Source organism: Homo sapiens, chromosome 5, assembly GCF_000001405.40.
Source record: "Homo sapiens chromosome 5, GRCh38.p14 Primary Assembly".
NCBI lineage: Eukaryota > Metazoa > Chordata > Mammalia > Primates > Hominidae > Homo > Homo sapiens.
In genome coordinates, this window is record NC_000005.10 from 53461323 (window position 1) to 53489186 (window position 27864).

Genomic DNA, 27864 nt, shown 5'->3' on the forward strand with positions numbered 1-27864 from the left:
GTAAAAATTAGAATTAGGAGAAACTTTAAATGTTAATAAAGGCAAACCATTTAGAAGACTATATGGCCTATAGTAGACACTCATTAAAAGGTAAGAAGCAACTGTTAGGAGTACTACTAGTAATGGTACTGTGAAGCCAACAAAAGCTTTTAAGCAAAATTGCTGATTTCTTATTCCCTTAGGCTTTCTCTTTTGTTTTTGTTGTTGCTTTTGAGGTTTTATTTTTTGTACAACATTTAGCAAAAGGCTGTAACTGTAAACAAAACTATGATTTAATTTTTCAATCTTATTATTTCAGCATTATGTAGGAATGGGTTTAGTGCCAAAGACTGTATTCATCATCATGTCTTTTGGTCATAATCATATGCAGTATGATTAGATAAATAGGCACACCCAAAATGTCAACGGCACCTGTTTGAGAAGCTATAAACTTATTCCATTGGTTTCCATTTCACATGTTCTTTTAGTTACTGAATTATAATTTATCATGTGTATTTCATAGTAACAAGTACAAATCTAGTCATTTCATGCCCTTTAACAGCTTTACATTATCTACAAGATTGAGTCTAAATGTCCTAATTTGTCATTCTAGGACCTGTACAATTTAATCTTCACAGATTCATCGATCACCTGCCCCATAATCCTATGTTCTTCATGCATTTATGCTTTTTCTTGTGCTTTTTCCTGTAATATTTATCTATTCATTCTTCTTATAATAAAATAATTCTCATCCTTTGACATCTTTTCCATATGTTATGAGCACTTCTCCTATTTCTTCAGAAAAAATTAATTATTGATGCCTCCATTCTTCCACAGCATTTTACCCATAATGATTATAAAAATTTTAATCTTCTGGGGAACACTAAAATATGATTTATTCATTTTCATGTGTATTTTTTGAATTGGATTTACTGATTTCAAAGGATCCTTTCATGGAAACATAATGACCATGACTAGCTAAGCCAAAAAATTCACATAGAACATGTTTCTATACTGAAATCCCTTAGACATGATATATATCATCTATGCTACACTGTCACTCACATGGGTTAAGGTTGCTTTGGAATTAGTGCATAGCTGTTTAATGTGTTTAGTCTATACCTTAATTAGACACTCCTTAAGAGACACAATTGCATCTCTCTCTTCTTTTGTTCTCTTGAGAGTCAAAACCATCAGTCACAGTAGCTGTACATAATAAAGTGAATAGCCACATATTTATAATACTTGGCAACCTTCACTCTTTATTCAACTAGTTTAATTCTTAGTGTTGATTGTCTTCAATTTTATCTTTGGGAATTGCCAGTACTTAACCTGCCTGAATTTTCTTTTATCCTTAAGCAGCTAGGGATACATTAAAAAATGTTGCTTCACTTTATAGAGGGACTAGGGTTTCCTCAGAAAAAGCCAAAGTTGACCAATAAACGTATATATTTTTTCTTTACAAAATTAACATACTGAATGAAAATTCAAATAATACCAAAAAGTGGAAAGATCAATCCCTCCCTAATCCCCCAATATAGCAATTTATTATATAATGTGTATACTTCTCATTTCTATATACACTAAAAATCTCATATATATTAAATATATACATTATTTAATTTTTACACATATAAATTTATATCAACCATTCAACTTAACAAATAAGAGACATTTTCTTATGTGTATGCTTCACTTCTTTTATTTTTATTTTGACCAAGCCATATGAATCTATTTGCAAAGAGAAGTTTTGATGAGAAGCAGAAATTCTGAATATGGAATATGGTAAAGAAAATAAGTGCCCAAATTCCACATCTGTCTTACAGACATACGTTTTTCCTCAATGAACCAAGGGGATCAAGTTCTGTGGTATCAGAGACAATCCTCAAAAAGCCCAGAACTTAATTCTTAAATTTAAACTTAATCCTGGCCCACTTTATTTCCACATCTTTGATATTATTGGTTCAATATTCTGTTAACCCAACTCATACTCTTATGCCAGATTCCTAACAAGTAGGTATCTTGACAAGAGAATTTCCCTAAACTCCTAAAATTATGAAGCCAGTATGTTAGATTCGATGGCAGACTTTGCTAAAGTATGAAATCTGCTCTCTACCACCAGTTGAATTCGGGTACATCTATTTGTGCAGTGTGCTAGACAAAACCGTGCTTCTACAAGCCAGAATCAGACTATGCCCAGCATCCTCTTAAAAATCAAGCCAGCACAGAAGGCAGTATCATGTAACGTTGGTGCAATCATTCAGGAACTTCTATATATTCAGTGACTCTACTTCTAAACCCAAAGCACAAGAAACAACATGAGATCCCATGGGATTCTGTCCTAGATGATGCAAAATAATCCCAATGCAAAAATATAATCCAAACCTGAGGTAGTGTAGCCACCTTCACAGAGGAAACCTTCACAAATCCATTGAGGAGAGAACTAAATGCAAATTCCACCACCTAGGAAACTTATTGTTCAGAGATGCTTGGGCAGCCTAAAAAAATAGGACACTTGTTTCAAGAAGCTCCCTTCTGGTGGAAATCACCCCAAAAGGACTAAGACATGACACCAGGCAGTCAACTAAACCTGTGCCCTGTAAGCACCTGTTCAAAGGACAACCAACAGTAACTTGGATCCCCACCCACATTCCCAGCAGTCTCCACATCAACACCCATGTGCCAGAACTGACATGAGTGGAAACACAAGGGTTCCAAAAACACAGTTCCAGAGTCACTCCATCAGCATTTAAGTTCTGCTCATTGAATCTCTGTCACCGGACATGTGCACTAAACCACAGCAGCTGTGCCAACCACAGGCCAAAGGAGCTTGATTAGAGGCAGAGCCAAGTTAAAAGGAGTGGGAAGAATGTGTAGAAGCTGAACAGTTAGTAATGTGGCATATACTCTGACTCCTGGGAAAGCAAAGCAGTCAACAGATCTGTGCTGCATATTTCAAACCTAGAGGACCTTTTTGTTAACTGAGATTTCATGCAACCCCAGAGGTGAACAGGCAAAGCCACCAATGGTGACAGCCTGTCTACATGTGTGCTTAGATGAGATTGTACTGTGCGTCATTAATCTGGCAGCTTTGAGCCCCATTCATACACATAAATAGTAATGCTGTCAGCAGCAGCATCTACTAGCACCAAGGACAAAAATAAATACTTCAACATGAAGTATAGACACAGGCCAAGACAGGTCTCTCTTGAGTTTTGAATTCTCATCATAGACTAAAGATGATTGATGGTGATAGTGCTGTGGTTAATGGACATACCACTGTATTTCCCATCACTTTTCAAGTACATGCTTCTGATTCCCTTGATTATTTTCAGTCTTTGCAAATGTTATTCTTCCTGAAATCCCCACTCCACTTTCTCAGTTGCCTCAGCTAACCAGTGGTTTCACTGAGCTCCCTTTCATTTCTGACATGTAACATGCAAGCTTTCATTGTTCAGCTACCTGGGCATTTCTCTTTTCCCCGGCACCCTCCCCCAACCATTTCACCAGACTGTGCTAGTCTATCAAGATGAAAACAACACTATGACACTCGGAACAAACTTCTCCTGTCAGATGCACACAGGGGGCCCTCTGTTGCACAATCTGCACTTGTTCCTCATGCAACAGAGATTCAACTCACAGATACGAGATCCAGACTGCAGATCAGAGGGGAGACTGACTTCTGCCCTTCATTTGAGCCAAAGAATACTTATCTCCTTATTTCCAACTTCTCAAGTTGCAGCTAGACCTGGGGAGATGTAAATATGTAAGTAAAACCAAAGACCATATTCACAGGTTATCCCTTTCAAAATGCCAGTACTTCTCAGTTGGCTTATCGCAGGCTGATTCCACTCTTTATTCATAAAGAGCCAATAGCAAGAAAAGGCAGCTCAGTGTGCGGGAAGGATTGCAGGAGTTACCGCCATATACTGATCTTTTTGTTCTGACACATTGATATGTGGGATTGGGCTGTGGGCAAAGTTACTATGTCTCTCTTTCTTGCAGCCCTAGGCTATCCTTAATCCATAGCTCTGCTGAAGAGATCCTTTCTAGGGAAAACATAACATAGGAAATTTAAATGATTGTTGCTGGTGTTTAATATTTATTGAACACCCACAACTGGACCAGGCACTCTACCGATGTGTAGCTTGCATCTTATTAGAATTTTCTGGGGAAAAACATCACTTTGACTGAAAGCTATTTAAAAAAAAAAAAAGCTGTTGAGCTATTGTAAGAGCAACAAGAATACACATTTCTCAAATATCTCTAATTGCTTTTCATAAGAATACAATTTTCTGCTCCTTCCATTAAGAACAGTCATTAACATGATATACTCAGTGATCCCAACTCTATAGTGCTTCTTTAAACATTTAGTTACATTTGCTAGTAGCTCAGGCTGAAAAAAAAATCACTATGTTAAAACGTATTTGTAAAGATTTTTTTTTTTTTCCAAAACATGTGTAATATAGTTGAAAATAAATTGACCTCACTTTCAAGCTGCACATTGTTAGTCTTTGTCTTGGTTCCCTGCCTTTCTCTTCCTCAGAACCCAAGGTTGGAGCCTCTGTAGCACTCGATCTGCAGAAACCAAGTCTACTTCCTTTCCTGAGATAGTCCGAACAGGAAAAGGAAGCACACAGTAGCCATCACCCCACTCTGTATTCTTACAGAGCTTGGCAACAGGTAACTTTCCCCAGACCCAGGAACCTTCCGTCCTGTCACCTATATCTTCATTGACAACCTGATCTGGAACCCTTCCTGAAACTCAATCTGCAGGCTGAGAACCCTGAACCTTTGTCTACTTCCTACCTGCCTTCCTTCTCAAAGCTAGACCCTGAATGTTGGCAGGAATCCTGAAAAGTGAAAAGTGTTTTTAACTCCTACATTTTCCAGAATACCATGATCTCTGCTGGTAAGACGCTGCTTGCCCTGTTGGACTGGTATTGGTGATCTCCTTAGATTTAAAAAAAAAACTCTGGATGGATATGCACCAAAACATTAATCATGGCTATCTCTGGGTGGTAAGAAAACACATGATTTCAATTTTCTCTTTTATTATATTTTCCAAATATTCTGCAGTGACACGTATTACCTTTTTACACAGGAGGAAAAAAAAGGTTTTCTTTTTTTGTTTTGTTTAAAACTTACCAAGACATACCATTATCCTTCCCGTGTTTCTGTTTCAGTAAATTCTCTTTTTCTCTTTTCCAAATCCAGCCTGTTGAAAAGAGTGTTCTCTCTACAAAGGAGGACAAATCTAAAGACCAAATTCTAAGAGAAAATATTTTTAAAGGGTTTTAAAATCTGTTATACCATAAAAAAGCAAGGTATTGAAATCAGATCCTTTATAGCATAGAAAAAATAAGTGATTTATTAATGATATCAGGAATTGAGATTTTCACAGCACCATGAGAATGATAAAGTAAAATTCTAAGTTAAAAATTATAAGATAAAAAATTAAATTAATATAAAGTTAAAACTCAATTGGAAAATGTAGATCAAAACCACACAGAGGGGCTGGGCTCAGTGGCTCACGCCTGTAATCCCAGCACTTTGGGAGGCTGAGGCAGGTGGATCACCAGGTCAGGAGTTCAAGACCAGCCTGGCCGAGATGGTGAAACCCCATCTCTACTAAAAATACAAAAATTAGCCAGGCGCGATGGCAGGTGCTTATAATCTCAGCTACTCAGGAGGCTGAGGTGGAGAATTGCTTGAACCTGGGAGGTGGAGGTTGCAATGAGCCGAGATTGCGCCACTACACTCCAGCCTGGGCGACAGAGTGAGACTCCAGAAAAAAAAAAAAAAAAAAAAAGCCACGGAGGTGAGAGCAAGACCCAGGGAATTATGCCCAGCATGTTTTATGCAAAAGATGTTCAGCTGTGAATAAGTGTCCCACTCCCTCACCTCTGTTATGGTTTAGTTGCAAGATGTCCATCTTTCTGTGCTGATGGAGAGCTGCCTTCTTATAACCACAGAGTTGGCACCCTACCTGGGAAATGTGTTTCCTTGCAAAACAGATTCCTTAAGTTGTGCTGCAGGCTCTGTGGGTCACTTTCCTCTCTTATGTCTATCAGTACCAAAGTTCACGGTTGTGCATTTGAATTTCTTTAGGCTGAAATTTACAGGTTGCTGCTTTGTGTTTCTTCCTTATAAAATCTCTTTATATGATTTTAGCTTCAAGTAGAATTTACTTTCAAAAAGAAAAAAAAGAAAAAAATGCAATGAGATACTACTTCACAACTATTAAGATTGCTATAATTAAAATGATGATTAATAATAAAGGTTATAGAGGCTGTGGAGAAACTGGAACACTCGTATATTACCAGTGGGAATGTAAAATGGTACAAATGGTTTCCAAAATACTGTTCAGAAAACAGTGTGATAGTTCCTCAAAAAGATAAACATGGAGCTACCATATGACCCAGCAATTCCACACCCAGGTGTATACCTAAGAGAAATGAAAACATATGCTCACACAAAAACTTGTATGTGAATGTTCATAGCAACATTCGTTGCAATAGCCAAAAGGTGGAAAGAACCCAAATGTCCATCAACTGATGAACAGTTAAGCAAAATGTTGTATATCCATACAATGGTATATTATTCAGCCATTTTTATGAAATGAAGTACCAATACTACATGCTGCAATATGGGTGAAACTTGAAAACATTATGCTAAGTGAAAGATGCAAAATCATACAAAAGGTCACATACTATATAATTCCATTTATATGAAATGTCTAAAATAAGCAAATCCATACAGACAGAAAATAGATTAGTAGTTGCTAGGGGTTAGGGGAAAGGAGGAATGGGAAGTGACATGAGTAAAGGTTTTCTTTCTGGGTAATAAAAATGTCCTAAAATTAGCTGGTGATGACAGTTGTAACTTTGAGAATATACCACAAACCACTAAATTATACACTTCAAAAGTACATTTTGGAGGGCACAGTGGCTCATGACCATAATCCCAGCACTTTGGGAGGCCCAGGCAGAAGGATCACTTGACTGCAGGAGTCTGAGACCAGCCTGGGCAACACAGTGAGAACCCATCACTACAAAAAATAAAAAAGAGCCAAGCGTGGTGGCACATGCCTGTAGTCCCAGACACTTGGAAGGCTGAGGTAGAAGGATTCCTTGAGCCGAGAGGTCCAGGCTCCAGTGAGCTGTGATCATGCCACTGCACTCCAGCCTGGGTGACAGGGTGAGTGAGACCCTGTCTCAAAAAATAAAGTGAATTTTATGGTACTTGAATTACACCTCAATAAAACTGTAAAAAATTTTTGTTGTTTGTTTTTGAGACAGAGTCATGCTCTTGTTGCCCAGGCTGGAGTGCAATGGCACAATCTCGTCTCACTGCAACTTCTGCCCCCTGGGTTCAAGCGATTCTCCAGCTTCAGCTTCCCAAGTAGCTGGGATTAACAGGTGTGCACCACCACACCTGGCTAATTTTTGTATTTGTAGTAGATACAGGGTTTCACCATGTTGGCCAGGCTGGTCTTGAACTCCTGACCTCAGGTGATCCGCCTGCCTCCACCTCCCAAAGTACTGGGATTACGGGCATGAGCCACCACGCCCAGCCAAAGCTGTAATCTTTTTAAAGAAATGGAACTGGAAATATCAACATAAATTTGTGATTTAAAAAAATATATTTTTCTAGCTCTGTACAATTAAAATATCCTAAAAGCAATGTCTAGTAGCAAGGAGTACCTCTAGCACCAGCACCCAGATTTTCACCTCTAATGCCATTCCCCAGTTATAAAAAAAATCAGGTCTTCTTCTTGGAGAAAGGCTAATTCTGTGCCTGGGTCAGCAAAGATATAAGGTCAGTCTAGGACAATTTGCACCAAAAGCAAGCAAACTTTCCAAGATTAACAGGATTGTGTGAAAAAGATACAGAGGCTACCTTGAAGGGACTTCCACTGGCCAAGATTATAATGCTTTAGGCAATAAAAGAACAATGGTTACAGTTAATTGAAAATCTATGAATACCCATAAGTCCATATTGGTATCTTTTGAGAACCAGTCTTTGAGAAAGGAAAAACAAGAGCAAACAACAGAAACCTCATTTGTCAACATCATTTGAAATAGCCATTCAACCTACATCTTACTTTAAAAACATGTAAAGGGGGAAAAAATAAACATTTATTCTGCCTTTTCAGTAGAGATTAGGTTTCAAAGTAATTAAATAGCCCCCGTGATACATATATTTGAGCAGAGATCTGAAGGAAGTGAAGGAGCAAGTCATCCTTGCACCTAAAGGAAAAGCTTTCCAAGTCAAAGAAGCAATAAATGTAAAGTTTCTGAGGCAGGAGCACATTTGGAGATCAGTAAGGTTATGGAGAAGAAGAATAAAGAGGAGTTCAATGGGGATATGGGGGAAATGCCTAGGAGCACTGTCTAGGGTTCATAAATGATCTGTCTAAATCATCTGGAAATGAAGGCCTTTTTTTCCCCCCTCCAGTAATGTATGTAATTACCTCCTATATTCCCCTCAATCACCTTCACCTTTTTAGTCTAAAGGTGACAAACATATGTGGATAATACACCTTTATATGGTGCCTACCACAGATACTATTAATTGATTATAGCTTTAGAATCCTTTTCTGCTCCCATTAGATCAAGTTTACCTATTTGTCATTCCTGTCCTATAATCTTAAGAGGTATACACATGTAATCTTTGTCCTGACTGATCCAGAAAGTCTGTGTTGTATGAAAAACACTACATGACTTTGTGGCCTCATTGGTTCCCTAAACCTATCAGCAGCATTTCACTTCCACTTAGTGCAGTTTCCCCAGAAACAAAGCCTAAAAGGAGGGCTTAGGTCAAATGTAAGCTGTTGATTGGAGTGTGTGATTCAGGGGAAAATATTGAGAAATGGAGGAGAGAAGAAAGAAAGGGAACCAATACAAAGGTGCATTACTGAGCTGGCCACCTTCACTGTGACTGCTCGCTCAACTGCACAGAAAACCTCAAATTTTTTTTCAGAAAGAAAGAGGAAGCATTTATCCATAGGCTCCCATTATTGATAATATCAAGTCAGTTCTGTAGAATGACTCACCTTCTGGATTTGTCTGTTTGCTTCTCTATTGGGTACATCCTGAATTTCCTATAAATGGGAAGTAAGAGCTAACATCTTATTAGATTCCATTTACATATTTGTGGCTAAAATTCATCAGAGGTAAGGTATTTCTTTGCATTCCATCACATCAGGTTGCAGCTATAGCTGGTTGTTCCAACACAGCAATATGAAGATTGACCACTGGATTTGCATGCTGACCCTTCCACTACGTTGTTATGATTTCCCCCTTGAAACAATAGTCATCTGATTTATTTGGAACCATATAAATGTCAGTTCCCCAGCAAACATTTTCCTAATGGTTTTCATATCACTTGGTACTCAATTACACTCTATAAATACTATACATACTTAATAAATATTGTTTAATGTATGACTAAATGTCAGCGATCGCTGGGGATGGATTTCTCATCTTCCACTCTGTTTACCCTCACTCCAGGCATTGGATCCTAGGTGGCCTTCTGGAGACTGAGATTGGTCTACACAACACAAAGATTCTGAAACAGTGGTGTATCATGAGACAGTGTTTGGACCTCTTTCTTTTTTTTTAGATGGAGTTTTGTTCTTGTTGCCCAGGCTGGAGTGCAATGGCACAATCTTGGCTCACTGCAACCTCCACCTCCCAGGTTTAAGTGATTCTCCTTCTTCAGCCTCCCAAGTAGCTGGGATTACAGGTTCGTGCCATCATGCCTGGCTAATTTTTGTAATTTTAGTAGAGACGGAGTTTCACCATGTTGGCCAGGCTGGTCTTGAACTCCTGACTTCGTGATCCGCCCACCTCGGCCTCCCAAAGTGCTGGGATTACAGGTGTGAGCCACTGCACCCAGCACCTGGCCAGACCTCTTTCATCCTGTTGTCATGTAAGTTTTATATCTTGAGTGCTGCTGTCCCTTAAAGTTAGTGCTTAGGAAGTGCAAGAAGGAACATGTGTTATCTCGGGTATTAGTGAAACAACCACCTATTCTTGTTTATTTGTTTGATCAATTCATTTCAAAGTGCCTTGTATTCTTGGTTGTAATTGGTCATATCTAGGTAAAGCTGGCTGTTTCCAGAGTCAGCAAGGAAGGCTGAGCTGTGTTACCCACAAAACATTTCTTGATAAAGGTGACCCTGGCAATTTAGGGCGTTCAAAATTTCTTAACTCCCACAGGCTCATTGAATCCAAGTCTCAAACAGACCTGTCCTTCCTCCATTATTACCTATGTCAGAAAACTATACTACCATCCATTCATTTATTCATACCAGAAACCCAAGAGTCATTTTTGTTTCCTCCTTTTCCCTTATAGCCCACATTCAATCAATCAACAGAATCTATCAATTCTACCTGATAATTATATCTTGAAGGTAACCCTTTTACCACCTTTAATGCCTTCCCATTTATTTCCACAGTTCAAGTGGGGAGAGAGTTTCTAAGTGAAAAGGGACCTATGCCACCTTCTACTTACAATATTCCCATGGATTTCCTCTGGAATACCAGTAAGCCCAAGATTTTACAAGAGCTTATATAATCTAGACCATCCACTTATTCATTTTCCTCAATTTCCACTCTCCTTCTCAAACTCTGTGCTTTGGTCATTACTAAACTACTTTTGGTTCCTCATATGATTCCTTTCTTGCCTCCTGGGCTTTGCAAATACTCTTCCATCTCTCCACAAGCACTGCCTTCTCCTGGCTAACCCCTCCTCAACCAAAAATTACAGCTAAAGGTCACTTCATCAAGAAGGCTTTCCTTGACCCTCTTCCTCATAATGTATTGAATAGTACTTACTTATTTAATATCTGCCTTCTCTTTCATCCTAAAATCTCCAAGAAAGCCACAACTAGATTAGTCTTGTTTGCTTCTCTATCTTCATCAGAGAATTTAGAAAATGTAATTGATTTTTTATGCTTGCATGTTTTATGTTCTTCAGCTTTAGTTTTTATGAATAACAGTAGAAAAAACATTATCTTTAAAAGTATCTTAGGTTGCTTAGAATATGGGAGTAATTACAGATCTGTTTCTTTTTCTCATTAATCCTTGGGAAGCCTAAATTACAATCACTTCCTAGAAGCTAGGCAGTAAAGTACTTCTGACTCAGCCTTGCCCTATTGTTTTTTGGAGGGATCTAGGAAGTGGTGATAATAACACTTACCTGGCAGAGCAGTTAAAAAAAATAGAGATGACGTATTTCATATGTCTAGCATGGAATGGGCACTAAAACATGGTAGCTATTATTAAAGAATAAAATAATAGATATATGCATGGATTTCAGAGTGCCTGTGACCTCCTTAAAATGAATGCAACATTTTGTGTGGCTGTGTATGTGTTTGTGTCTGTCTGCTATTCTGGGGAGATGGTCCATATCTTTCAATAGCTTCTCAAGGGGACTGGGAACAAGAAAAAGTTAAGAATACTGCCTAATGGTTTTATTCAGGAAATCTGGTGCTCTGGCAAAAATGAAAATGTTGACAGTGTGATTGTTGTGTCATCTGGCTGGCCAAAGCAATGTTTTCTGCTAAAGCAAAAATTAGAAGTATTGGGGCCAAAATGATCTCAACTAAATGGTTCTTCTACACTATGTTTCCATCTGCCCAGCATGTGAGCCATTAACACATGTTTCCTGTTGACGATTTTCATATCTTTATTTGCAAGGAAACTGCACTGAGACCAGTTCAAGAGAATCATTTATTTAATGTATTGAAAAACCAAATAAATGAACTTCCTGTATATATACTCATGATTTTATATTGCTAAAAAGTGACTATTTATGGGACATTAAGCACACATTGACCAAGACTGCCTTTAAGTAATTCATCTAGTAGTTCTCATTATACATGTGTGTGTATATATATGTTTAGTCCAAAAAATAGCAAGTCTCACCATGTGTTGAAATAATTTATTTCAACACTTAATGCATCACCTGTCCCGTATTTCCACATGTTGTGTCATCACCATTTGACCTCAACCCATTGTTAAATATTTAATAGTACTGTTGGATAAACGATACAAAGTATTGTTTACTTTTGAATGTGGCATTTACATGAAAAACCAAATAAGCCAATACATGCTACAAAAGGTACAAGTTTAGGGTATAGCACTAGCCCTTCTGGTGGATGCAAAACGAGATATAAGGGGAAAGTAAACTACAGAGAGGATGAATGGGTCAGGGAGAGCAATAACAACAGAAAAGATGCCATAACTCTCCAATAAAGAATAAAGGCAGAAAGTAACTGCCACCCAAATGTTGGCATAATGGAAACTGCATGTTTCCATCTCTCAGAACTTAAACACAATAATGGATAGTTTTGAGGAGGAGTCTATTTGCATGAACATGATGAAATAATACTCAACAAAACACTAACTAATAGAGAATTATTCTTAACACTCACTGAGTGTAAATCTCATGGTGATGAAGATTATTCATTTAAAGGAGTGACTATGGTCTAAAAGAAACACCAAAAGAGTGCATGCCAGAGATTTTGATGAGTCAGCACACCACTCCTGGTAAGTGTGCTCAATACACTCTTTTTGACTGACCATAGACAATCAGCTTGGGGAAGTCTGAAAACAAGTATCAGCCTACACCAGGAAATCTTTATAACCTATTGAGGTCCTTTGAGACACAGAGCTTAAAATGACATATAATATCCTACTTCAGCATGTTTTTCAATGACAGCCAAAATAAAAAAACACACACACACACTACAGTTGAGAGAAGCTAAAGAAGAGTTATGTAAATACAAAGACATACCATGTTATTGGTTTTGAAGACTCAATATTGTTAAAATGTCATTCTCACCAAATTGATCTACCCTAATCATAATCCCATCGAGCTTTTTTTGCAAAATCAACAAACAGATTCTAAAAGTTATATAAAAATACAAGTAGGATATTCAAAGTGATCTTGAAAAAAAAGAAAAAGTTGTAGGAATTACACTACCTGTCTTCATGACTTACTATAAAGTCACATTAATCATGATAGTGTGGTACCAGCATAGAATCAACAAATAGATCAACGGAACATAAGAGAGAGCCCAGAAATAGATACACACTTACGAAGCTCTTTGATTTTTTACAAAGGTGCAAAGGAAAAGTGCAAAATTGATTTGGAATGAATTCCCCGTTGAGGAACAATGACTGTCTTAGCTCATGCTGCTGCTATAACAAAATATCTTAGATTTGATAATTTTATAAACAACAGAAATATATTGCTCATGATTCTGGAGGCTAGGAAGTCCAAGATCAAGGTGCCAGCAGATTCAGTGTATGGTAAGACTCACTCTCTGCTTCCAAGACTAACTGAAAATTCTACAAGATGATGAAATAGGATATTCAAAATCATGTTCTACTAACTTGTAAAATTTGAATTTACTGTAAACATAATTGAGGATAGCAAAGATCACCTGGTGACTATCAAGCAGGCCATCCAGAGACAAAATTCCTTATCTGAGGGATTCAGAAGTAATTCGACTTTCCCATTATCTAAACCAGGCATATGGTTCCAGGTTTCCCTCCCAAAAATTTGTTAAGTAACTTGTATGCATATTGAAACTCATTGTGCAACCCTTGCTGACATTAAGGCACCAAGGTATCTACAAACGTTATTGTTTAACATGACCTACATGGCTAATGTGGTCCAAATTACTCTTAAGCTCCTGCTTTAAGGTCCATAAATACCCCTAAGGAAAAATCTACCAAAACACTCTGGGTCCTCTCTTGCTGAGAGGCTCTGCTGCACTTCTTCTGCAGCATTCTTTCTTTCTAATAAAACTATCCTTTTTCAAACCTACACTGTCATCAGTAAATTCTTCTTACCAACCCACAGGTTGACCACTTTTCAATGCCAGGCCTCTGACATCTCGCCTGGCAACAGTATCTCACTTCTTAATTTACCATTCAGCATCAGAAATGAGACAGGATTCATGTCAAATTAAAAAGTGGGGTGACAATATGATGGATGATCAAACAGCAATTGTATCAACTACTGATGGTAATATTAAATAGGCAAATACCTAGAGAAGAACTAGTTATTAAGTGTGCAAACCACTGCTACTCTATGGAAAGCTAAAATAAGGGACCAGAAAATAAAACATACCAAAGTAACTACAGCATGCTACTCACCTTCAGCCAATGAATAATCCAGGAAGGTGGCTCTTACTTTGATTGACACGTTGTTTCCAACATAAAGTAGGGGAAACTGAACAGCAAATCCTAGTTTGCCCTCCTCACACCTTCTATGCAGTTGAAAGTGTAAATGGAATCAGGGTTAAAAGTGCTAAAGGTCACACACAGATATTTTCAGTCATATCCAAATATATGAATCATTTATGTTGTCAAAGCGACCTAAAATACTTTAGAATTTTCTATTAATCCAATGTAACATCCCCATTCTAAGGCATAATTTGAATTATTTACTAAGATTTATTTTAACTACTTAATTATGTTGAACTTGAATATATTAATATGGCTAGTTTAAGTGACTATGTGACAACTAGCTTAGCTGACTTCTGGAAACCCAAAAATATTTCTAAAATTAAAGGGGAAAGCAAGGCAATAAAAATGTTACACAGAAACAAGTAGTATCAAAAAGGAAGAGCTATCCATGATTGATCAGCTCTGTATAACACCAAAGCAACACTGAAAAGAGAAAAGTTCAAGTAATCCGTTGTTTTCTCAGTTATATATATATATATATATATATATTACATAAAACATATTTTTCTAATGATTTTTTAAAACCTTAATTGACCGGTAGTTTGGATATCTTGGGTAAACATTGCTTCTACGTACTCACATTTCTTAACTTTTTAGTTCTGTAATGATTCAACCAATACAGAACTACTGCCCCCATCCCCCTACTCAAATCCTTATGCTAGCCTATGAAGTTGCATAATGCCAAAGACTATGACACATTAAGTAACTGTTTTGTACCTAGAATAAAATCTGATTTTAAAATCATTTTAGCCTATTTTTCAAATGCTTAACTTTTGTTGTTTAATCAAGATTGATTATTTGCACTTGAAAATGTATTCATTTTGCAAAACACCTAACTTCAAAAAAAGCTTGACATTTAATCTTAAGGCAAAAAAAAAAAAAAAGCTACTCAGTTCATGACTTTCAAATAGTCTCTACATAACCTCACCCCACTCCCTCCATATTCTCTTTTTAGGTACTGAAATTTAACCAGGTCAGTTCTGGTCTCAAATAACAATGTCATATGAGTTTAAATAGCTATCTAGGGAGTTAGATTGAATCATTTGCTAAACTCTAATATTTTAAATTTATAAACTTCAGAAGGAAGACAGCTTTTGAAGCTGACAAAAGACCAATCAGAAAACAGTAGTCTTTTTGTGTGCTGCCCAGAAATTCAGCTACAAAGTGGTCCTATTGTGTTTCTCATAATTTACATTTTTATTTGGCAGAGCAGAAAGGAAAAATAAGAAGTCAAACTTGGAGGCATACAACAAAAATGAAAGGCGACATTTTTATTTTAAAATGTCCCCTTGACATTTAGATATCTACAAACCCAATATTTAACATTTACAGGCGATATAACAGTAAAAGAAATAGCAGCTGTTTTTCTGTGATGTCACTGAACAGGTGTGGTACCATTTCATACCACAGAAATGGGATGGATCTCTTGCTGATGCCCACAGAAAGCCTATAAGGAACCAGTATTGACCTGTGTCTCATTTCCTCAGTTATGATCTGAAAATAACCCTAGATGGCAAGAGTCATGGTGACTGATCTGTGCTGATTTGGAGCAGACATTCTCCCAAACAGATCAATACTATCCAAGGTGCAGCTGAAAAACAGGATGAGCTTGTATCACTAAACAAACACCAAGCTGCTTATTCAAAAGGGCAAAAGCAACACAGCACTTATGTTTTCCACAGTGTGTTTGCCAGTGACCTCAACCCTGACCTGCAGGGTCACCTTCTCTGGGACGAGAAGTAATCCTGTGTTGGGTCACCCTCTGGTACTGAGGGACTCCTATTTGTGGTGCCATTTTTTACAATGAGAGCTACTGTGTCTGCTTTGGCTTAGCCAAGACAATTACATGATGCCAAAACAACTAGTCAAGGCAGTCAATTTAGTCAAATGACTGGTCTGAGCATTTGGCATTACATAGACAAAAAATGAAATAGAAATGAAATTTTTACTTTTACCCAATCATACTGGAATTGTGAGGATACAACTTAAATTAATTTAGAAAGTTTTTGTGACATCAGTTGTTTCTATATACATAAACTAAAATAAGTATCTGGACAAACTAAATAGTTTTGCTCAAACATGGAAAATTTTTTGACTAGCCCCTCCAAATTGCTTCTATTCTAATCTTCATTTAGCTACACAGACCTTCCCCCAAAAAGGTAATCTTTGTGTATACTTGTATGACCCTTTTACATCAACATGTTATATGTACATATAGGAATGAACAAAATTAAAATCTAATAAGAACATACAAGTTATATCACTATTCTCCTTGCTATACGGTTATAAAATATGATGAGATTATGAACTTTAAAACAATCTTCCCAAAGATATTGAGAAAATAAATATGGATTAAAACGTGATTCTATATTTCTCCAGGCAAGATGACTTCATATACAACTAGGCATATAAGTAAAATTTAAATATTTTGTATAGTCCTAGGGTGGAAAGTCTAAGAAAAAGACCCCAGTTTCCAGAGGCTACTGGCCAATTCAGGACCAATAAATATATTTAAACTGGAGACAAATATAAAATCATGTAATTATGTATGATCATTGATAGCATTGCTGTAAGATCCAGTTACTTACCATCTGAGATCTTTTATGCATTTGGAATGTTTATTTTTCAACCTTGGATATACGGTTTGATACCTCTACCTTAAAAAGAAGCTGTGTCTCTTGCTGCCATTAAAAGACAGGGTAGGGGGAAAAGTCAAGTAACAATACTTGTTAGCTTCTCTTTCCTTTAACTTATCCCTGGGCAGGGGTGGGGGAACCTTTAAGCAGAGAAAACAAACTTTCCCTCCAGCACATCATTGTATAAGGACTATACCATTTCTCTGAATAAAGAAGAAATAAATTCAGCTTTGGAACTCTGCCATTGAGTGGCGGCTCCTGCAAAGGGGACAGTTTGCTATTAATTGTTAATGTCGTCTGCCATTAGAGGGCACTAAACAACTCTACATTAATGAGTTGGAGGGAAGAGAGAAAAGGAGACTGGAAAAGAAAGAGAGGGAGAAAAGGGAGGGAGAGTACGGGTAGAGTCTGGGTAGAGGGAGGGAAGGAGAGAAGAGGGGAAGGAGTAGGGGAAAGAGAGCAGAGGGAATGAGTTGGAGGACTGGAGGGAAAGGGAGAAGGGGAGAGAGACAGCGAGACAGAAACAGACAGAATGATTCTGGAAAGATTAAGAAGGATGTGGAGCCCCCACAGCCGTCTGAAGTGAGCAAAATCCAGTCTCCCCCGGGCCGCCCGAGCCCCTCCCCTCCCGTCCTCATGACGGTAATTATAAAGCGAAAAGCGGCGGCGAGGTCACCCGCTTTTACCAGCCTGCTGCACCGAATGCGCGCGGTGCAGGTGCGGCGGCCGCGGGGCTTTGTGATTCATGCCCACTTTCAAAGGGGGGCTTGGGCCCGTCTGAGAGGCACCCAAACAACTGTCTTCTAATATTAGCACGGCTGTATTTCGGGATCTATTATAGTCTGTCCAGACAGATCCCATTGTAATGGGATCTTTTATTAAAAGATTAGCACTATCTCCTGCAGTTGGTGGAAAAAAATCTGTTATCACTGAGTTATTTGCAGTTGTGGAGGGGGGAAGGTTGACGGAAGATGGGGGGTGGGAGGGCTAGAGGAGGACTGGGGGAGGGTCTGGCGGGGGGAGGGCAGTTGCAGGGGGGGAAGAAGGGCAGATTTGAAATTCGTAGAACAAATCCCAGTGACCTGCGAATGTCCAAGAATTTTGTCTGCATACTTCGCTATCTGTTGTCCTTCGGGCTTCAGATGCGAAAAGAACAAATTTAAAAGGCAGCTTTGGAATAAACAATATAGCATTTTCCGTGAAGTAATCGTTTTATATAAAAGGAAATATCGCCTCCTCAGTTTCATTCAGCGGTGCCAAAAATGTTATAAATGAGAGACCCGCCAACTTTCAGCGAAGAATGCCAGGCACTGTACTTAATAAACTGAGGCTACAGAAGTTCATTATGGATGTTGCAATCTTTTTTATTCCGCGAAAAGAGAGAAGACGAGACAGAAAGAGAGAGAGATTGGAGCCGAGGAGACTGAGAGACAGACAGAGGCACACAGGACAGAAACTGGGGAGTCTCCAGGCGGGAGAGGAAGGGGGGGCCAGACCGCCTACGTCGGCGCCCCCGCTCCGGGCTCCGACTCCAGACGCCGCGAAGTGAAAGGGGAGAAAAGAAAGGGAGAGGGCGAGGCTGTGCCGCGGGGAGACCGGGCCTGAGGTGTTAAACATTTTTGTTTGCTTCCGACTAGTCCAGACGAAGGGCCGCGTCTCGGTAGCGCTCTGCCAGGGTGGAAGGTGCCGGGGCCGGGGTTCCTAGCAACACCTCTGGGCTGGGGGTGGCTGCAAAGTCAGGCACTCACAGACCCAGACACAAAACCTCGCGGGTCCCGCGCCCAGGCTGCGGGTGCCCGGAACCGCCGCGAGGCCGGCGCGCTCCGACCCGACCCGGGGCGGGATATTTGGGCAGCCCGGGGCTCTTCGGCCGTTTGCAAAAGTCTCTTTGGAGCGGAGGAGAGGCAGCACGGAGACAAACTCCCGGGTTCCCCCCGCCACCGCCTCCAGCGCCCCCACCGCGCCCTCCCTCTCACACTCGCGCGCGCGCGCACACACACTCACACACACACTCACACACACACCCGCCACCCCGGGCGCGCCGGCGCTGCCGGCGAGCGGCGGCGAGCAGGACTTGAAGTGGGTGTTCTTCCCCACTCCCCACCCCCGACGCGTAGCCCCCAACCCCCGCCCCGGTCGCCTTCCCCCTCCCTCTCGCTCCTACGCAAATAAGAACTCGACGATTCCCTTCCAGCCGTTTTGATTTCGGGCACCTCCGAAAGATAATTGGGAAGGGTTTCCAGAAGGTGGGAAATGTCACCTGATTCACACTGAACTTTTGAAAGCTCCCCACCCCCAAGGAGCCGCGCACACCCTCGCTCGCGGCCGCCCTCCCACAGCCCCACACACTGGGAGACCGCCCACCGCAAACCGCGGAGACCCCCGTCTAGATTTAAAGCGCGGCTGCGCCCGGCTTCTGACGTCCATTGAATCGCGCGGGCGGCCGGCGGCGAGCGCGGGGCTGCGCCGGGATCGCTGCGCCCTCCGCCGCTGGCCTCTGCGACGCGCGCCGCTCGCCCGAGCCACCCGCCGCCGCGCCGGCTCCCCGCGCCGCTGCGCTCCTCGCCCCGCGCCTGCCCCCAGGATGGTCCGCGCGAGGCACCAGCCGGGTGGGCTTTGCCTCCTGCTGCTGCTGCTCTGCCAGTTCATGGAGGACCGCAGTGCCCAGGGTAAGCGAGTGGGGATGCGCTGGGGAGGCTTGGCTGAGGACAGGGGGGTCGACTTTTCTGTGGTCTCCACTTGGTCTGTTCTGAGCAACGCTGCTCTCGGAAGATGTTGAACCAACTTGGGGACTCCGGGATGGAGAGGAGTGGGAAAATTGTAGGCAATGACACTTTAGGACTGGGAACTGAGTTTGGAGCTCGGTTATCTTGAAAAAGGAAAGGGAGCGAGCTGGGGTCTTAGTAGTTAGGGTTAAATGCTCCAAGTTCTGGCCATGATAACTTTAGATGTGATCTCCTCTGTTTGGCTCTGAAGAAGGGAACAAGTATCAGTAGTAGCCTGGAGATTTCAGTCGACCCATTTGCAGTCTCATCTCTCTCCCTCCCACATCTTTTGGATACTTAAAAAAAAAAAAGGAAAGAAAGAAAAGAAAACCTGGGGGTTTGGGGGAGAGATACTGAATTTTATTTGGTGGCTGGGGGACGTGGTTTCAGAAACTTTGCCCAAACTTGGAAATGTGGGTGCTGAAGATTTTCAAGGGAAGTAGCTTTCTGCCTAGTGGATGCTTCTTCCAACCCCATCCCCCATTCTCGCAAAAAAAAAAAAAAAAAAAAAAAAGCCAAATTATTACCCCAAAGTGCTTTGAGCACTTTACAGTTTTTTTCCCCTCTGCCTCATTCTTCTTTCTGACCCTTAGCTTTCTGTAAAACAGTGAGCAGCCCATAACTGACTTAAATTCTGAAATGGGTTAAGAGCAAATTTCTGAAGCTTGCCTTTTAAAAATAGATTTGTTTATTTCAATTAGTCTTTGGGCAGAATGTTTAAAATAATAATAGCAGCTTGCGATCCAATGATTGTTAAAGTCATATTGGTGATTCATGAGAAGTCTTCTCGACCCAAATCCGAACATTAAAAAGGGGGAAGAGGGAGAAATCACTTGCAAATATTTCTTGCTAGGTATGAGATAGGTACTTATAACCGTGAAATGGTAGGAAGACTCCCCCCTCCCCCCACCTTAAGGCATTACTTTCCCTGCTTCAGCGTTAACATTTTAAGTATGTTGTAAACTGCCCTCCTGGGCACTGCCCCTCGCCGTCTGCATGGCACTGCGCTGGGTTGCCCGCCTTTAGAGGAGAGGCTCTGCCTGGTGCCCGGACGTGGGCGCGGAGGAAAGCAGCCCTCGGAGATTTCGAAAGATCGCGGTGGCCGCGGGCGTGCTCCGGTCTGGCGGATTGCAAAACGGGCCCGTCGGGCTGGCTGCGCCTGGAGGCCGCGCGGGGTAGCTCCGGGCTGGGCCGGGTTGCTTTTTTGCTTTCATTTTTCAGAAGTGCCTTTTGCTTGATCTGTTTCTCTCTCTCTCTCTTTCTTTTCTTTCTTCCTCTCTCTCTTTCTTTCTTCCTTTTTTTCTTTCTTTCTCTTTCTTTTCTTTCTTTCTCTTCTTTCTTTTCTTTCTTTCTTTCTCTTTCCTTCTCCCTCTCTCTCCCCTCCATCTCTCCTCTCTCCTCTCTCTCGTTCTCTTACTTTCTTAACCCCTGTCACAAATAATTCCTGTACCCGCCTACATGAAACCAGCATGTAAAAACATCCGTCGCATCCTGTTTTTGTCAGGTTCTTTAATCTGCTCTTCGAGTCTCTGCAGGTTATGAAATGGGACGAATAAAAGTAAACAGTCTAGTAAAAGTCAATGCAAGCTGCACGTGTTGTGTCTGGGTCACTGGTAACTGACATTGATATGGCTGGGGCGCCCTGTCTTCTCCCTCTCTCCCTCCCTCCCTCTCGCCCACCTCCCATCTCTGTGATCAGGGCTTCCCCCTCCACTGCCTTCTTTTTCCACCCCTCCACCCCTTTCGATTTATTTCCTACTTTTCTCCCGCGTCTCTCTCACTTCCCCTCCTCCACGCTCACCCCCTCCCCATCCCCGCCGGGTCTCCTTCGCTAGCCACCTCGCTCTCCCTGCCCTGCCACCGCTCACTGCTCACTCACCCACCTCCCCACCCTTGTCTCTTCACAGCTGGGAACTGCTGGCTCCGTCAAGCGAAGAACGGCCGCTGCCAGGTCCTGTACAAGACCGAACTGAGCAAGGAGGAGTGCTGCAGCACCGGCCGGCTGAGCACCTCGTGGACCGAGGAGGACGTGAATGACAACACACTCTTCAAGTGGATGATTTTCAACGGGGGCGCCCCCAACTGCATCCCCTGTAAAGGTAGGACTCCTTCTTCCCAACTTGCAGGCCCTCAGTAGAGGGCGTCTTACCCTTAGCTTCCCCACTACCTGACTGGGGTTTGGGAGTAGGAGAGCTTTGTTCCTGGGCTTCCCCTTCCTGTCCCTTGCCCTGGTAAGCCGTGCAGACTCTAATTCTGCCTGTTACAGGCTGTAGGGAATACACGCCAGACTTCTTAGCCAAGTGTGGTGGTGAAACCCACCAACCTGTGCTCCTTAATGAGAGAGATCTGGGTGTGGGGCACAGCCCAAGGTCCACACTCTTTCACCAACTCCCAATATTCCAGGAGAGAGCCTGGGGCCCCTCCAGCGCAAACTCAGGGCTGCATGATTGCGCAAGGCACCCGAAGCCCTCCTGGCTGACCTGCAGACTGCCTGGCTCTGGTTTTAATCCATGCCTGTTTCTAACTCACAGAAACGTGTGAGAACGTGGACTGTGGACCTGGGAAAAAATGCCGAATGAACAAGAAGAACAAACCCCGCTGCGTCTGCGCCCCGGATTGTTCCAACATCACCTGGAAGGGTCCAGTCTGCGGGCTGGATGGGAAAACCTACCGCAATGAATGTGCACTCCTAAAGGCAAGATGTAAAGAGCAGCCAGAACTGGAAGTCCAGTACCAAGGCAGATGTAAAAGTAGGTCCTACCCTGTTGAGCAAGACTGGATCTGTCCCCTCCTCCAGCTTTGTACCTAAAGTAGACCCTCTAGAAGACCCTTGGGGGATGGTGTAGTCCGCAGTAAGAGCCTGATAATAGTAATACTGAAACCAAATAAAGGAGTCCTTTTCTAACCTCTAGAGATTCATTAAGAACACTGAGGGGACCAACCTAGTCATAGATTCTCTCTTGAAAACTACAGGGCTCCCTAAGTGCCTTTTGAAAGCTGGATGCTTCAGTGTCATGATTTCCTTGGTAACTTCAAGTGCTCACTCCCTAAGGACTAGAAGGTACCTATTCATGTGTGTTTCCTTCTTTGTTCCAGAGACTTGTCGGGATGTTTTCTGTCCAGGCAGCTCCACATGTGTGGTGGACCAGACCAATAATGCCTACTGTGTGACCTGTAATCGGATTTGCCCAGAGCCTGCTTCCTCTGAGCAATATCTCTGTGGGAATGATGGAGTCACCTACTCCAGTGCCTGCCACCTGAGAAAGGCTACCTGCCTGCTGGGCAGATCTATTGGATTAGCCTATGAGGGAAAGTGTATCAGTAGGTATTCTGGATTGAGGAAGGAAAAAGAGAAAACAGGCTAGTTCTATTATTAAACTGTGGGGTTAACTAATAAGTAAAGCCCAAGGCGTCCCCAAACACCATAGGGAGAAATACGCTGCAATTTGGGGAAAGTGTTGTGACCACAGTATTCCTCATGGAAACCATTGTCTTCTGGAGGCATTGACACATATATTCAAATGCCAGCAGGAAGCAAGGAACAGTATTCCGTCTTAGAAAACTTAGAACTTACTCAATTTTACACATTTTTTTAAGTGCCAGACTTGCTGGAAGCGAAAAATAATTACTTAGCAGTTCCAGAAATCTGTTGTCAGATTCTAGTAATTAATGGAATTCTTTCTTTTGTAAAAGATCCCACTTGTGGGAAATAATAAGATACATATTTAACTTGAGAATATTGTAAAATCCTGTTCTTAAAAAAATACCCTTTTAATGCACTAATGTAGTATGTAAGAAACTGCAGGGGTTTTGTGCGTGTGTATGTGTGTGTGCATTTGAGTTTCAGTTTTATTATCCAGCATTTTTGCATAATATCTCCATTACCCCCATTAGTAATAGGCTATTACTATTATGTTTATATAAAATAAATTATGTTTATATTTATTGATAGAGGACTAGAGAAAGGGAGAAAAGGGGGATATGGGGAAATCAGTTTACTCATCACAGATGTATTATATCCTAGAAGCAAAGTCCTGTGAAGATATCCAGTGCACTGGTGGGAAAAAATGTTTATGGGATTTCAAGGTTGGGAGAGGCCGGTGTTCCCTCTGTGATGAGCTGTGCCCTGACAGTAAGTCGGATGAGCCTGTCTGTGCCAGTGACAATGCCACTTATGCCAGCGAGTGTGCCATGAAGGAAGCTGCCTGCTCCTCAGGTGTGCTACTGGAAGTAAAGCACTCCGGATCTTGCAACTGTAAGTGCGATTTTTAACCTTGCTGCCATTTAAGGCTTTCCCAGGCAATCCCTAGGGAATGGACACTTACAAAGCACGCAGATCTCCCATAAATCCATTTCTGTTCAAATTAGGTAGCTGCTAAGTATCACCAGCAATTCAATAATCCACAGAAAATTCTCTGCGATGTTTCTTGGCTTTTAGGACTTATCTGGTGATCATCAATGGGGTTGCCTCTAGAAATCTATTTCCAGTTGTTTTCCCCTATTTCTTGTGTTTTGGTAGTGTGCTTTGCTGTTTGCTTTATTAACATTTGAGTCTAAACTAACTGCTTCAAAAGTTTTTTTTTTTTTTTTCCAACGACAGCTTCATATTATCACACATGGGCTGCTGCTTTTTGCAGTTGCCTCTACTAACTCTGAATTAAGGACCCAAAGCAGTTATACCTAGAACACAAGAGCGCTTTTTATCTAATTTCAGGAATCTGCCCGTAAAACCTGAGCCATTGATTCTTCAGAACTTTCTGCAGTTTTTGACTTCATAGATTATGCTTTAAAAAAATTTTTTTAACTTATTGCATAACAGCAGATGCCAAAAACAAAAAAAGCATCTCACTGCAAGTCACATAAAAATGCAACGCTGTAATATGGCTGTATCAGAGGGCTTTGAAAACATACACTGAGCTGCTTCTGCGCTGTTGTTGTCCGTATTTAAACAACAGCTCCCCTGTATTCCCCCATCTAGCCATTTCGGAAGACACCGAGGAAGAGGAGGAAGATGAAGACCAGGACTACAGCTTTCCTATATCTTCTATTCTAGAGTGGTAAACTCTCTATAAGTGTTCAGTGTTGACATAGCCTTTGTGCAAAAAAAAAAAAAAAAAAAAAGAAAAAGAAAAAAAGAAAAATATATTGTCCATACTGTAAATAAGTGTATGCTTATTTATTTGGGGGGAAAACTATACATTAAAGGACCTTTGTCCTAAAGCTCTCTCCCAGGCCACCTTGTTACTCATTGGACACGGAGAGGCATTCATTGTGAGGTCTACTGGATGAGGCCCATAGTTGAGACTTGTAGACATTTATTTATACTGTGTCATGTTTTATAATTTATACATAAAATGTCTGGTTGACTGTATACCTTGTTTTTGAAGAAATTTATTCGTGAAAGGAAGAGCAGTTGTTATTTATTGTGAGGTCTCTTGCTTGTAAAGTAAAAGCTTTTTTTCCTTGTAAACCATTTAAGTCCATTCCTTACTATTCACTCACTCATCTGTCTCCCTTCATTTCACTGTTAGACTCTTTTCCACTTTCAACAAACTTGCATGTCAGTTTCTGTCATGTTTATTTATTGGATTCTCTGCTGCCTGATCTGTACATACATGATCCCTCGGGTTTTGTTTACAAGGAACCTTGACTGACCAAAAGGCATTATAACTCTGACTCAAATACAAGGTACAGAAGATAAGCATCTTTGAGGAAACTCCTACTTCAGTTCTTTTGTTATGATGAAGACATTTGTGAGAGAGGAGATGATTAGAATTCTAGTAATGTACTTTTAAGATGTTACAGATACAAAGAAATGATGTGGGTGTCAGGAGACTAAAGGATGTTGAAGGCTACACATTCAACCTTTTGTTAGGTGTTTCCTTTAAGCTACTCAGCTGTACCTTTTAAATTAGTTCTTTTTCAACCAGTATATCACTAAAAGTTATATCAAAGCTTTATCAGTTCAAGTTTCTTGCTTTTCATAATACTTTTTTCTGATGCAATTTTATATTTTCAAACATGGCAAGTTAAAATATAAATTCATTTAAATATATAGTTTTGTACTTTTCTACCATGTAAATGTGCAATGTATATAAAAGTTATAATGTGTATTTGTAAATAAATGATGAGTGAAAAAATAAAAAAATTTTAAAAAGCCAATGGTTTCAATTCCTGATGATGCAAAGAAGTTATTTGGACTTTTGAGTAAAAATGTGTATGATACCTTTGCTGAGGAATGTAGCTATCTCTGAAATTACATGGCCAGGGCAGTACAGATCACTTCACTGGAGTTTGAAAGATAAAGGGATCTGAGGTCCAGCAACCCCACTGTAGGAGTGGCATATACCTGTCACTAACCACAGAAGGAACAGACTGTAGATGTGGGTTCTTTCCTGCAATATGCCAAGGCTAATATTTCCTCTTTAAAAACACCATCGTTTTAGCTGTCCTTGTTGCAAGCTCATCACCATAGCCAGGGACACGCTTCATCTTACTTTCCCATAAATCCAGTGCAGTTTCAGTCTTTTAAAAAACAACACACATCACAAGGAAAGCTGACAACAGATATAATATTTGACAAACACATTCTAGAAATCAGAATATCAGCTGCAGAAGTAGACATTATAGTGTTGGAATGCTAGGGACTTGATGAGGTGAGGATGGGGTGGAGGTGAATTTCCACAATGATGTCCATGGTTAGGGATCAAATAATGTCACTCATTGTAAGAGGAAGTGTATCAATATTTCACAGTTTACACTAGACACTATTAGAGCTTCAGAATGGTGTTTAGGACATCAGTCAATGGTCCCTGTAATACATAGGAATACATAACTAGATCATAAACATAAGTTTCCAATTCATTGTGTGCTACATACTCAAAGCCTAAATATATTAAAAATATCAAAGAAGTACAAGATGCAAGCCTCAGATTGGCATTTGGGCCATCATTCACTAGTCCCTGTAATATAATGCATAGGAATATATAACTGGAGCATCAACACAAGTTTCTGATTCAATTCCAATTCCAATTATGTACTTACATATTCAAAGCCTAATTATATTTAAAATATCAGAAATTCAAGATGTAAAGAAGTATCAGGACTGTGGGAGGGAAAGAGCAAAGTATAGTCAATATTACCAGCATCGCTAAACAATAATAAACATATCATTTCTTTCAAACACCATGACCCAAGTTCTTCTTAAAAGTTTATCCCTTTTGTAAAAAGCCTCTTTAATATGAATAGTTATTCAAAATTGTTGCCAGAGACTGTTGGCTCTCAACTGTGGCCACCTAATGAGAAATTTGGTGGAGGTAGAGGGACCTCTTCAGTAGACAGTTTATATAATGATTAGAGCCCTGTTGGATCTTGTTACCTTTCAGCCCTGTGTTCCCCAAAAGGAAAAGAGAGGTGCAGAAAACAAACAGGCTGCCATTAACTGCAAAAGACAAGGGTCGTAACTTCTCCGGTGTAGATTAGCTACTGGCTTGCCACTAGAGAGAGGCTCTCGGGAAAGGAAACGGGCAGATATGGTTTCACAGCCCTTCGTGGAGTTGATTTGTTGCTTGATCCTGGGATGCTACAGATGCTTTAAAGCTGCCACTGACGATCAGAGTAAAAACGTCAAATTTAACAGGCACCGATGTGTGTCTTGGCAATGGGAAGTGATAAAATCAACAGCTTGCCTTAGAAAACATCCAGATTATTTATTTAAAATTTTTATTCCAAATTTGTCAGCATCAATCATTCCTCTTAAACACTGGACGGTATCTCGTTTTCCTCCTTGGAGTTTTCCACTTTTCCAGTCACCTAGCATTACACTTATTAGTACCAAAAAAATAGAAATCTCTTTTAAAATTAAAAGTAGATTAATATCTTTAGACTATTGTTAGAATTTCAACTATGGCCCAAAAAAGTCTAATTCACATGCATATAGTGTAATTAATAGAATGGAATTACAAAATATAAATTAATAATAAAAGATCTGTCAGAAGCCTAATTTAAATTAAAATGTTTATATACTACATGGGATATGATTCCTCAAGTATAGCAAAAATAAAGTCTGGCTAATTAAAGTTATTCTCAAATGGGATAGCTAAATGCAGTACCTGACCTTTGATCAGATCTTGTTCCTAAGGAAAATAATGCTGTAAATAACAATATTGGGCCGGTTGATAAAATCAGAATACTGTCCAAAGATTAAAGTATTGC

The 27864-nt window shown here is 40.5% G+C and overlaps 1 protein-coding gene across 10 annotated transcripts, besides 1 other annotated feature; it reads left to right on the top strand.

Annotated features, from left to right (window-relative positions):
- FST (follistatin) lies at nt 19307–25812 on the top strand. Of its 10 annotated transcripts, none has more exons than XM_005248402.5 (6): nt 19307–19554; nt 21558–21749; nt 22182–22400; nt 22747–23010; nt 23675–23905; nt 24365–25812. In XM_005248402.5, coding segments are annotated over exons 1-6 (993 nt in total). In that variant the 5' UTR covers nt 19307–19469; the 3' UTR covers nt 24367–25812. The 10 variants fall into 10 exon arrangements, with proteins under 10 accessions (XP_005248459.1, XP_005248457.1, NP_006341.1 ...); XM_005248400.5 differs by having other exon boundaries at nt 24629–25812; NM_006350.5 differs by having other exon boundaries at nt 22747–22971.
- Nucleotides 20540–20609: an enhancer, noted in NCBI's record as "active region_22546". NCBI's record gives its function as "activates an Ori minimal core promoter by ATAC-STARR-seq in GM12878 lymphoblastoid cells {active_cell/tissue: GM12878}" and the evidence as "EXISTENCE:reporter gene assay evidence [ECO:0000049][PMID:35858748]".